General features: G+C 35.2%; 1 protein-coding gene across 3 annotated transcripts in view; it reads left to right on the top strand.

The window, feature by feature from the left end:
- The window catches only part of GABRB2 (gamma-aminobutyric acid type A receptor subunit beta2), a 259,969-nt gene that overhangs the window by 80,150 nt on the left and 167,362 nt on the right, over positions 1-12,457 (top strand). For all 3 annotated transcript variants that reach the window (NM_000813.3, NM_021911.3, NM_001371727.1), the window contains one exon: positions 8,411-8,631. In NM_000813.3, coding sequence (NP_000804.1) covers positions 8,411-8,631 — 221 coding nt within the window. The remainder of the gene's footprint in view (positions 1-8,410; positions 8,632-12,457) is intronic.

Below are 12,457 nucleotides of genomic sequence, written 5' to 3'. Positions count from 1 at the left end.
AAGCTTGGATTTTATTCTAAGTGCAATAAAATGCTTTTAGACCATCTTAAGCAAGGAAAAGACATGATTTGCTTTACATTTCTGCTACACTGTAGGAGCAAGGGTTAGCCTCAAGGAGATAGTAACAATGGCATTACAGGAACTCGTAAATAATAGTGCCTTAAACTAGATTGTTTGTATTGGAGACAGATGTAATAGACTTGTGACAATATTTGGAAATAAAGCTGTCAAAACTTGCTGCTGAATTATTTTCTATAAATATTCCAAAGCATGCAAATGCAAAGATCAGAGCAAAGAATATGCACATTTTAGAAATCTCTGTACATATTCCCATGTATCCAACAGGAAATTTATACCACGTAAGAGGCAATTGTAGTTTCTACCATTTACTGGAAATATTGACTTTATACACATAACTAAGATGGAATCTTTACTCTCACAGCCTATGATGTTGAGAATGTACATACTATATGACTTAGGCCTCATTTTGATATTATTCAGGTAATAATTTACACATCAGATGTATTTTCTCCCATGAAGTGGAAAAAAATAAGTTTTTAATTGTGAAAATAGTTTGGTATTCCAATCTTTGGAAATCAGTCCTGTTGTGTCATATTTTTGAAAAGTGGAAATACTGACAAAAAAACTGAAATACTTTTCTAAAATGCCTAAAGTTAAAACATTCTACCCAGAATGATAGTAAAAGCTACAAATATGCTATGCTGAACAATTGTGGAGTTTTATTCACATGAAACTTGTATTACATTTAAATTAAATAACACTTGCTCTTGTAGTTTCCAAATCACAGATTTTTACTACCTTAAAAACATTAGCCTTGTCTTATGAAAGACAGAAGGTCAGATCCTCAGCTCAAAACCTCAACTTTGATATAGCGTAAGTGAAAGAAAATAACAAATGATGGTATATTAGACACAGTTGTTCTTTCAACAAGCGGTAATTAAGATGAAGTTAAATATTTTGTCTTTTAAAATTACAAAAGCCTGATAGCAGAGAGAGTGATTTCTCTGAAACCATCTAATTTTGGAGACAAAGCTGTTATCTAGAAGAACTCAACAAGCAAGTTTAATCACCAAAGCTCAAGATTTTAGTTCAGTAATGGTAATTTTCAAAACTTAGAAAGTGTAGTTCTAATGGACAAAGCAAATTAAACAGACTATACCTTATCACTGATGAAAATAAACTTTAAACTCTGATCATTAAAAAATAAGCTGTTAGGTGTCTTTATGTCTTTAAATGGCAGACCAAATACATGTGAAACCAACCCCTTACCCTGCTATCTTATTGTCAAATAGAGAAATGGTAGGGAAAAATACATAATTTTATTGACTATTTCCCCATATACATAGCCATGCTTTAAAAGAAAAGAGGAAAAACTCCATAGATAATAAATGCTGAAGTCTCTACAGAAAAAAATGCATATTGGAAACCATATAAATGAAGATAAATGAAGGGGAAGGGGAGGGCCGAAGCTCATGGTTGAATAGTCATTAAGGTCCAGGTGGGGATAGAGGCCACTCACATGCAACCTGCAGGCTTGAGACAAGGGGAGATGCTGCACCACACATCCAGAATGCAGTTCTATAGCTTCAAGTGGCCAGAACAATGCCACTGGCATGGAAAATGAGGGTAAATGGAAAGTAATTCTCAAGGGGATACTTCTCACTTTCTAATGATAAAATTCTTTCAATGGCTGATGTTGGTGTTTCCTTTTTTTTGGTTTGTCTTATTAGTACTTAAAAATTGTCATTGAATGAATATGTTGATTCAGGTTTAGATGAGTGAAGAGAAATTTAGAAAGCATGCAAAAATACCCCACAATAATGCAGTGGTTATAGATATCAGTGTAAATATGTTATTACTTTCCATAATCCTAAAATATCTACCAAAGATATTTGTTTATTACAAAGGATAATAGTGCTTCACAGTGCGGAAGCCCAGCAGATGCTACCTTAACCAACGATTCAAGATTAAGATGACCAGGAATTTTCCAGAATGTCATTTTGACATTATGTACACTTTATATGTACACTTTATATGATGGATACAATATTGCTTAGGTGATACACTGACCCAAATGGTATAATCTCAATCTAATCATAAGCACACACCAAGCAAATCCAAACTGAAAGACATTCAACAACAACAAAAAAAACTGACTGCTACCCATCAAAGACATGGAAACATTGAGGAACTGTCACAGGTTGAAGGTTAAGAAGCATAAGTATTAAGTGTAAGGTGGTTCTTGGGTTGGATCCTTGAACAGAAAAAGGGCATTATTGATATGAGAGATAGTGTAATAAGGTCTGTAGTTAATATTATTATATATGTCAATTTCCTGGTTCTATATTACTTTATGGCTTTGCAAAAGTTAGTCTTAGAGAAAGCAATGTAAAAACTATGCAGAAACTCTGTACTAGTTTTTGTTTCAAACTATAAAGTTAAAACGAATGTAAAAGACAATAACATATGATGTATATGTATGTGTGTGTATGTATTGTGTATATTTAAATATCCTATAACAAGAAGTAAATGTCCAAATAAAAAAATGTTCAATGAGGATGAATAGGCACTTTACAAAACAATAAACTTAAAAAAGATAAGAAACACAGACACACGTTTTACAGTATGTAATTTTTAGACACTGAGCCAGAGAGACAAGAAAGGTTTAAATCTTGGCAATAGAAAACAAACTATAAAGACAATAAAAGCAAAAACAAAAAGTGTTTAGACATATAGAAGATTTTTAAATGACAACATGAGTTTGAATATAAGGTCAGCAGAGGATTTTCTAGAATGGAATTATTTCATCCCTAGAAATGGCCTTTGAAACCACCTACTCTAAGTGCATTGTTGTACAATTTCAGAATAGAGAGCCTATAACCATTATGGTGGCCTTGTCAGCCTGTCCTGGTGGAGCCCTATGTCCCTGTGTATTCATGAAGGAGACTTAATCTGTAGCATAACTCTACCTTTTTTTTTCCCTCCAGATGTCAGATATCTTTTGTTTCCCCCAGTTCCTATGTTAATTAGCTATAGTTGTTCTTTTGACTTGGAAACAGGCTCAGAGATTTGAAAGGATTCCCTCAAGTTCACATCAGAGGAACATAAACATACTGGGATGTGGACCTAGGTGTGTCTGACCCCAGAGACTATGCTTTTTTGAAAGCAATTGAAAGATTTATTTTTTATTTGCATACAGAAAAATGCACTCGCTTTGGTATACAGTTCTGAGTTTTGACAAATGCCTAAAGTCCTAACACCACCACTGCTATTAAGAAGCAGAACAGTTCTATTACCCAAAATCAGTCTCTCATGCTTGCCCTTTGAGGTCAACTGCTCCCCCATCTTGAACCCCAGGGGACCGTTCATCTGTTCTTCATCTCTATAGTTTCACCTTTTTCATGTCATACAAATGGAATGATACAATATGTATCCTTTTGAATCTGGCTTCTTTCACTTAGCTTTCTGTATTTGAAAACCATTAATGATATTGCTTATATCAATAAGTTGGTTCCTTTTTATTGCTGAGTAGTATTCTGTTTCAGGGATGCATTCCAATTTGTCTATCCCTGTATCGGCTGAAGAACATTCAGATGGCTTCCACTTCTGGCAATTAAAATGAAACTGCTGTAAACAATTGCACAAAGGAGTGGGATTGCTAGGTTCTGTGTCAAATGTATGTTAACATTATAATAAATTGTCAAACTGCTTCCCACATGGCTGACAGTTTTGTATTTCCACTTGCAATGTATGAGACTTTGGGTGTACCTTCTCACCAGCACTCGGAATTGTCAGTTGTTTTTTGATATTTTTATTTGCACTTTTTTAATGAGTGTGTGGTAGCATCTCATTGAGTTTTTTAATTTGTTTTCCATAATGACTAGTGGTGTTGAGCATCATTTTATAAACTTATTTACTATATTTGTATCTTTGGTTAAGTGTCTGTTCACATCTTTTGCTTATCTTTGTTAGATTGTTTGAATTTTGAGAATTATTATATGCTTATATTTATGGATATAAGTTGTTTGTCAGATATGTGATTTGCAAATATGTTCTTCCAGTCTGTAGTTTATATTTTCCCTCCCTTAATAGTGTCATTGCTAAAGGAAAAAAAACCTTAAATTCTGTTGAGGTCCAATTTATCATTTTTTTGTTTTATTGCTTATACTTTTAGGTTTGTATCTAAGAAGTCTTTGCTGAAGCGAAAGTCAGAGAATTTCTTCTGTTTTTCTCTTAAGGTTTTATAGTATTACATTTTACACTTAAGTCGATGACATATCTGGAATTAAATTTTATATACAATGTGAAGTATGGGTCAAATTTTTTAATCTACGTATCCATTTATCTACTTGTATATGGAAGTTCCATTTGATCCAAACCTTTTGTTATATAATAAGATTATGCTTTCTCCAGTCTACTGTCTTTGTACCTTTGTCAGAAATCAATTGAACATATTGGTGCATGGGTTTACTTTTAGACTCTTCTGTTTTAGACCCTATGTTTCTATCAATACTACCACACAGTGGTAGTATTAGTAAGTATTTAAATCAGTATAGTAAGTCCTGATATCAGATTGTGTGAGTCTTCCAGCATTGTTTTTTCTCTTTCAAAACTGTTTTGGCTATTCTCTTTCATATATATATATATATATATATATATATATATATATATATATATAAATAAAAATATTTGGAATCACCTTGTCAACATCTACAAAAAAAATCCTGATAGGGTTTGAAATGAAGTGAATAACATTTGAGATTAAATGAGATAGCATTTCATCTGTAGACCAATTTAGAGAGTATCAACATCTTAACAATATTCACTTTGTGAGTCCAGAAATATCTCTCTCTGTTTATTGAGGTCTTTATACTTTTGGCTGCAGGTGTGTGTGTGTGTGTGTGTGTGTGTGTGTGGTGTGTGTGTACATGCATGCTACTTTAAGGAGTACAAGAGGAAGAAGAAAAATAATCGAGAAACTCACTCTTATAGTAGTATTTCTCACACTTTGATTATTTCCTCAGTCTTTCTACTTTGCATAGTCATCAGGTAGTTGTGGTTTTATTTCGTCCAGAATTTTTAGTTGTAATTCGTGGAAGAAATAACCTGCAATGGGTTTACTTTATCTTGTTTGGTATTGAAAATCAATTGGCTTTAGTTTTAATTATGTAAATCCTTCTCGGGTGGTGATAACGTGGATCAAGGAGCACCCAGAAGTGGTTTATTTGGGGTTTTTCAGTTTGAATAAACCAACTCTGAGACAAGTTCCCAAAGGTGGAGTTGTCAAATGTGAAGGATAGCCTTGTAATATTAAAGTGCAAAGGATTTATCTCAGGTGGATAGGAGCCTAGGGGAAAGGGTAGAAGACAGGACCATGCTTTCTTTTTATGCGCACTAACATTGAGTTCGAATCAGGAGCTTCTTCCTTTCTTGACAGTGTCATGATGTGTATTTGAAAATAAATGAAATCAAAATTGATGTGACAGTTTGCAGAATCACCAGGGCCTGTCTGGGAGCATTTTTTAGCAGGCACTGCCTTGCTGACAAATAACAGAAATTAGCATGTAATGCAGGGTCTCACAATCTTAACATTTATTTAGTCCAAAAGATAAGATAGTTTCCTGTGTCCAAACACATCTCAGCTGATTTGTAAACTTCAGCACCTTCCAAACGGTATTATTTCTCCTAACTCTCAAGAGGGCTTATGAAAGAAGTGTAAGTAGCTTTCTCCTCTTGTAGAGATAATAGTCAAATTTTCCATTTCAAGAATTGGAAATCACTAAATGCGTTCTTTCTAGCACAATATTAATTGCATGTTTTATTTTTTATGTCCTGTTTTTAGGTTATTTGTAACATAGGCACACACAAAAATATATATCTGATCCTTTTACTGTTTTCTAGTTATATAATTCATGAATGTTCATCTTGCTTCTATTGTAAATTAACATGCTCCTCTAGAGATCCTCAAACTAATTCTTCCCTAAAGCAGAGTGCTGCAGAACAGTCCAGAATGCTAACCAGAGTAATCCGCTAAAGCGAATTTCACCGACAACTATTTGATACACATTTAGGATATTAATATGTCTTTTGATAGGATAGAAGTTTGATTGTAAAATTGGAGGGTCCTACACTAATTTCTGAGTGAGGTCAAAATGTGTGTGTTTTCTAAGCCACAGAAAATATTTAAATATTTTTTACAACGAGTTACGTTGTTCCCATGAAAACTGTTCGGTGTTAGAGCAGATAATATGAGTCATATTTTAAAATAATATAAACCAATTAAGATGTATAAATCTCAACAAAGGTTAGAAAAATGCAAGATTTTACTGAAATTTAAGTATGTGTCTTATACACAAAATTATGCAGATTTGTGCAGAAATCCACTAGGCATAGCTTACTGGACATATATTATTTCATTCATTTGTTATTTGAGCCCTGGGCACTGCTCTAGCCTCTCAGGTTGCAGAGATAATTAATACATGATTCTAGTTTTTAAAAAACCCTCAAGTAGGGCATTGTGAACTGATTTTAAAATAGAATTGTAATTATGCTTTTCAAATGAATATTTGGACCTTCACTTAGTCATTCAGATGAGGGTGAGAGAGCAATTACATTGTACCCATAGGCTTCTAATGGATAAAATATGTCACTTATAAATGCTTCATTCATAGTATATAGCTTTTTGTAGTTTACAAATTGCATTTGAGTTGTACATTTAATTTTCATAATAACCTTCTGATTAGATCAGGCATGTATTAAAAGCCCCATTTATATTTAATGGAACTGAAACTAAAAGAAGTTATGTATATTTACATCCTAGAAACAGAATTGAGAAATGGTAGAATTGGGACCCCAAGAGCAATGCTCACATTACAGGAGCCAGCCCACTGTTTCTAAAAGTTGCAGCCCAGCCTACTTGTCCGTAAGGCTGGGATTAAAATTCTCATGATAAACTGACTGAATTAATATTGTTTAGATAGCTGAGAAGCTTACATTAGCCTCAGTGTACATGTCGCCTTTTCTGGAAAACCCACCTTGATCAGACTAGACTGATTAGGATTCTCATTTACAAACTCTTACAATTACTACCATAATAAGTTAGCCACTTTGTAACAATCTATTTTAAATATGCATACCCTTCTAAAATTTCATGGGGCTAATTTTCTTGACTGCTGTGTTTCTACTCTCCCTATGTATCACTGGCTCAAACAAGCAGGTCTTACTGATTCTTCAAACATGTCAAGCCTGTCTATTTATCTTAGGGCCTCTACAGATTCCCCTCTGCTCAGCATGTTCTTTTCCCAAGAGCCAGTGGTTTGGGCTCCTTCTCTGCTCTCTGCACAATGCCAACTCCCAAGAAAAGCTTTTTGTCACCATTCCAGTTAGATATTTCGCACCTTGATTTATGTGCCTCATAAAATGTAGCATAATTTTACATGATTCTGTTGATTTATCTATGCTTTGTTTTTAAATTCCCTGAGAGCAGGCATTTAATCTGTCTTGTTTACCACTTTCATCTCAGCACCTCAATGGTTCCTGTCAAATACTAGATACAAATTATATATTTAATGAATGAATGAATGGAAGAATGAATTGATGGATTCTTAGGTTTGGATGTGCTAGTTAATTTTTTTAGTATACATAGAAACAAATACATAACTATTTTTAAAATTGTGTTTATATCTCACCTAAAAGAGTCCCGTGTACTCCACTTTGGGAAGCACAAATTAATCATTAGGTAATTATTCCTTAATATCTTTCTTCCTCGGAAATATTTCATAAATTTCATGTGAATATATTCTCTTCACTTCTGTATTCATAGTGCCCACCACTGTGCCTGGCCCATGCCAGGTACTGGGTAAGAATGGGTTTAATAAATTAGTATTTGCCTCTATATGTGAACAGTATATGTTTGTATTTGTGGCCATACATACACACACACACACACACACACACACACACACATATATATATAAATTTGTTTTCTTGGCCGGTTGTGGTGGCTCATGCCTGTAATCCCAGCACTTTGGGAGGCCATGGCAGCCAGATTACCTGAGGTCAATAGTTCGAGACCAGCCTGTCCAACATGGTGAAACCCCAACTCTACTAAAAATACAAACAAAGAGCTGGGTGCGATGGCACATGCCTGTAATCTCAGCTACTTGGAAGGCTGAGGCAGGAGAATTGCTTGAACCTGGGAGAGGGAGGCTGCATTGAGCCGAGATCGTGCCAGTGCACTCCAGCCTGGGTGACAGAGTGAGACCCTGTCTCAAAAAAATAAAAATAAATTAAAAATAAATTCATTTTCTTATTAATACTGAGATGTTTGCTTATCCCCCAGATCTGTCTGGGTGTAAACTAACCATGTTTTTTTTTCTCACATTTACAGGATTATACCTTGACAATGTACTTTCAACAAGCCTGGAGAGATAAGAGGCTGTCCTATAATGTAATACCTTTAAACTTGACTCTGGACAACAGAGTGGCAGACCAGCTCTGGGTGCCTGATACCTATTTCCTGAACGATAAGAAGTCATTTGTGCACGGAGTGACTGTTAAGAACCGCATGATTCGCCTGCATCCTGATGGCACCGTCCTTTATGGACTCAGGTCTGTTGTCCCCAATTCAAAATATAACTTTTCCTGAACAAAATAGCTGTTAATTTTCATTGGATGGAAATATTGTGCTATTTTCCTTATCTTTCTTCAATTCTACTAAGAAACAGTTAAGCCTCCTATCCACTAGACATTTGAGAGCTTAAGGTAGCATGCTTACAAAGGAACTTAACCTCAGCTAAGACTACATTTTTCTGAATTATCTTCCAATATCAGCTGCTGATCCTAAAGCTGCTTTCTTTAAGGACTAGGGATAAAGAATATCAAAATAGCTGAGACATAGGGTTTCTTTAAAATACAAAAACATTGTGAATGCCAACTAATTGTTTGAATATGGGAGATGCTGTGTTTTGTAAATTGCTTCTGAGCTGCCTCAACGGGATCATGGCCCTCTGATGATGAGAAAGCTTATTGTGACCTCTTACCTTCCAAGGAGCAATCAGACTTGCAAATAAATAAAGTAGTCATCTCATGTTTATTAATGGGAAATGTATACTCAAATATACCTCTATGTCAGGAAATAACTGTGATACTCTGATATCTGGGTGAGGATAATTTATAGAATAAGATAGTTTTTCTTTTAAAGTTTATTCTGTACTGAAAGCATGGTTTCATATTAAAAGATGGTTTTCTAGAAAAAAAGAAGAAAAAATATATCTTTCTCTGAAAACACTATAATATAAAGGATTTCTCTTCATTAGAGTGGAAGAAATTCTAAACTCAGATTTTCAGTTGCCTAATTTATTCTGTGTTACATGAATATGTGGTTACCTTCTCATAATGGTGATAATAATAACAATAATATTCATTTATTGAACACTTGTTATGGGTCAGACATTGAGCTAAGTGCTTTCATGCATTATTATAGTTAACCCTTACAACAACCTCATACATTAGGAACTGCTATTGTCTTTGTTTTCAAATGAAGAAACAGAGGCTGATGCAATTTGCCAAAGATTACAAAGAAAGTAATCTCTGGAGATGGTACATAAACCCTGTTCCAAGTTCAGAGCCAAAGCCCTCAACAGGATGCCTCCAATTCCACATATTTCTTGTCTATTCTATCTCATTTTTATTTTCTGCTTTGTTCAGTACTCCTGACTGATACTTTATCTTAGATCCTTAGATTCAGCTGTTTTGTTTATGACATTTGTCGAGAAAAAGGCATTTGGCCTTCAAGGGAGGGAGGGATAAGAGAGGCAGAATGAGAGCACATTTGTACTCTGTGGCAAACACTGGTGGTAGACAAATGAGTTAGATACAGGCACTGCTCACATACATGCCTCAGAAAAGAAGGAAATAGAAGAGAGAGAAGGTAAGTTGACTGGCAAAGTCTGAAAAGATTCTACTGAAGTGGTGGACTTCGAAAGTACTAATGGAAAGAATTGTGTTCAGCAGATACATGATACTAAAATTATTACTTGGAATCAACTACAAAACATACAGTATCAGAGAGACCTTGATGAGAGGGTGACCATGTGTGCAGTGGAGAATAGGGAATGAAAAAAGACTGTAGTTTAATATTTTTAAAAAGTTAAGCATGGAGGGAGGTAAGAATCTAGAAGAAGGCAGGAGACTTAGAAATGATAAGTTACCCAGAGCAGACCCAGTGCTGGATGCATTTTGTCCATCATATCACTTCATCTTCACAGAAATAATGCAGAAATCACCCTGCACTCTTCCTGTTTCTCCAGAATACCTATTTTTAGGGCACAGGACATGTCATATTCTCCTTTGTATACCCAATACTGACTAAGCACCTACACTGTAAATAGCAGTGCAATAAAAGTTGAGGATGAATTCATAAATGCATGTAGGCAAAGTTGAGTGGACAGCAAAATCAGAATGCCTTTAGAATTGAGAGGAAAAGGGGGCTGAGCGCAGTGGCTCACACATGTAATACCAGCACTTTGGGAGGCCAAAACAGGCGGATCACGAGGTCAGGAGATCAAGACCATCCTGACTAACACGGTGAAAGCCTGTCTCTACTAAAAATTAAAAAAAATTTGCTGGGCGTAGTGGCGGGGGCCTGTAGTCCCAGCTACTCGGGAGGCTGAGGCAGGAGAATGGTGTGAACCTGGGAGGCGGAGCTTGTAGTGAGCCGAGATCGCGCCACTGCACTCCAGCCTGGGTGACATGGCAAGACTCCATCTCAAAAAAAAAAAAAAAGAATTGAGAGGGAAAAGGGGTAAATCAATATTATAGATGATAAATTGGCTTCTTTATATCATTAAGTCATTAATCAAACAAAAATGACGACAAGTTATTCTTATCATTAAGATCACTGGGACACTATTGCTGTACCTTTAATTCATGTCATTGGAAAATAATCATTCTCCCATTCCCACTTCCATCAAGGGCTATTAAAAAATATGCAGGTTCCTGAACACATCTAACATACATAGAATTAACACTTCCCCACGGAGAGGGCTCATGAATGGTGATTGTTCTCAGCTGTATTGTTAATTGTGAAGAGAAGATTAATAAGAACATTCATCAGGAAATATATAAATGTCCAATTCCAGCTTCAATGGGCAAATAGTAGAACAATTTATTCCTTAGAGAGAAATTTATGCATATCAGATCTTTCTCAACTCAAGGAGGTTCATTTGCAATAGATAGGTAAAAGGAATTCAGTTAAAGTTAGCTTTTATTCTATTTAATTTCTAGCTCCATTTTATATAATGCTAAAATATATTATTCTATTGTTACAGTTGATTCTACAATACTTTGCCCCTCCTGCTACTTACCCACCCCCAGCCAGTAATTTTCTATTGCTGACAATGTAGTGAGAAGTTTGTGTCTGTATTCCATAGGTCTGCATTGAAATGACACTTAAAATAGTAATAATATTAATATCAGTAGTTAGTACTCATTAAGAGACTTAGCATGTACTTGTCACAGTGCCAGAACTTTACATATATTATCTTATTTATATTAACTTTAACCCAGCAAAATGGGTACCATCATTTTCTCCATCTTACATGAAGAAATGAGGGAACTTGCTGACAAAATTACACAGCTGCTCTGCAGATGAGCTTAGTTATCTGAAGGTAAAGACGTTGATCTTCACTATTCTGTCCTGCTTATGTACTGGCAAGATGGAAATAAAGAATACTAGGAATCACCTGAGAGCATGCAGGGAACAAAAAAGATAAAAAAGTGTTTAGATGGAAACAACTTTTATTAGTCCATAAGTACAGGCTTTATTCTGGACTGATAAAAATAAGGCCCTAATGAACAACCTGCCTGAGTCTTCTATGAAAGGTGCATTATTAGGTCCTGTGGTTCACACTGGTTCCAGTTTAGTAGGGAATTTTGCTGTGTGGATTTCTGAGGCACAGGCAAGATCTTTGTAAATAATTTGGCAGTGGCAAAATTTACTAGTCTGGGTAAGACATATTGAAGGGCAACCATGAAGATGTGGATATGGGAAGCTGGCAGAAGAAAAACTTTAAATATCAAGGCAGTGACCAAGAAATTGGGTAGAACTAAGCCTGTAAGCTGAATGTCTTGTGAGTTTAAGGCAAAATCTAAGGGCTTAAACTTCTTTCCCATTAAGACAAACAAAGATTGGTGGGGTAGGTTAAAGGAGGGACAGTCATTTACAGTATCTGAGTAAGTTTCTTTCATAGGTTTTCTTCAGTGAAATCTTCAGGTATTAAAACATAATAAAGATAGAGAAAGAAGTATTGCAAAATATCAATGCTTATTGAATTTAACGGTAGGTATGTAAGTGTTCATTGTATTGTTCTTTCAGCTTGTCTGTTTGAATGTCTTCATAATAAAATTTGGGTCTGGGCATGCCTGTAATCTCAGC

Source organism: Homo sapiens, chromosome 5 (genome assembly GCF_000001405.40).
Source record: "Homo sapiens chromosome 5, GRCh38.p14 Primary Assembly".
NCBI classification, from domain to species: domain Eukaryota; kingdom Metazoa; phylum Chordata; class Mammalia; order Primates; family Hominidae; genus Homo; species Homo sapiens.
This window is presented reverse-complemented; position numbering and strand designations above follow the sequence as displayed.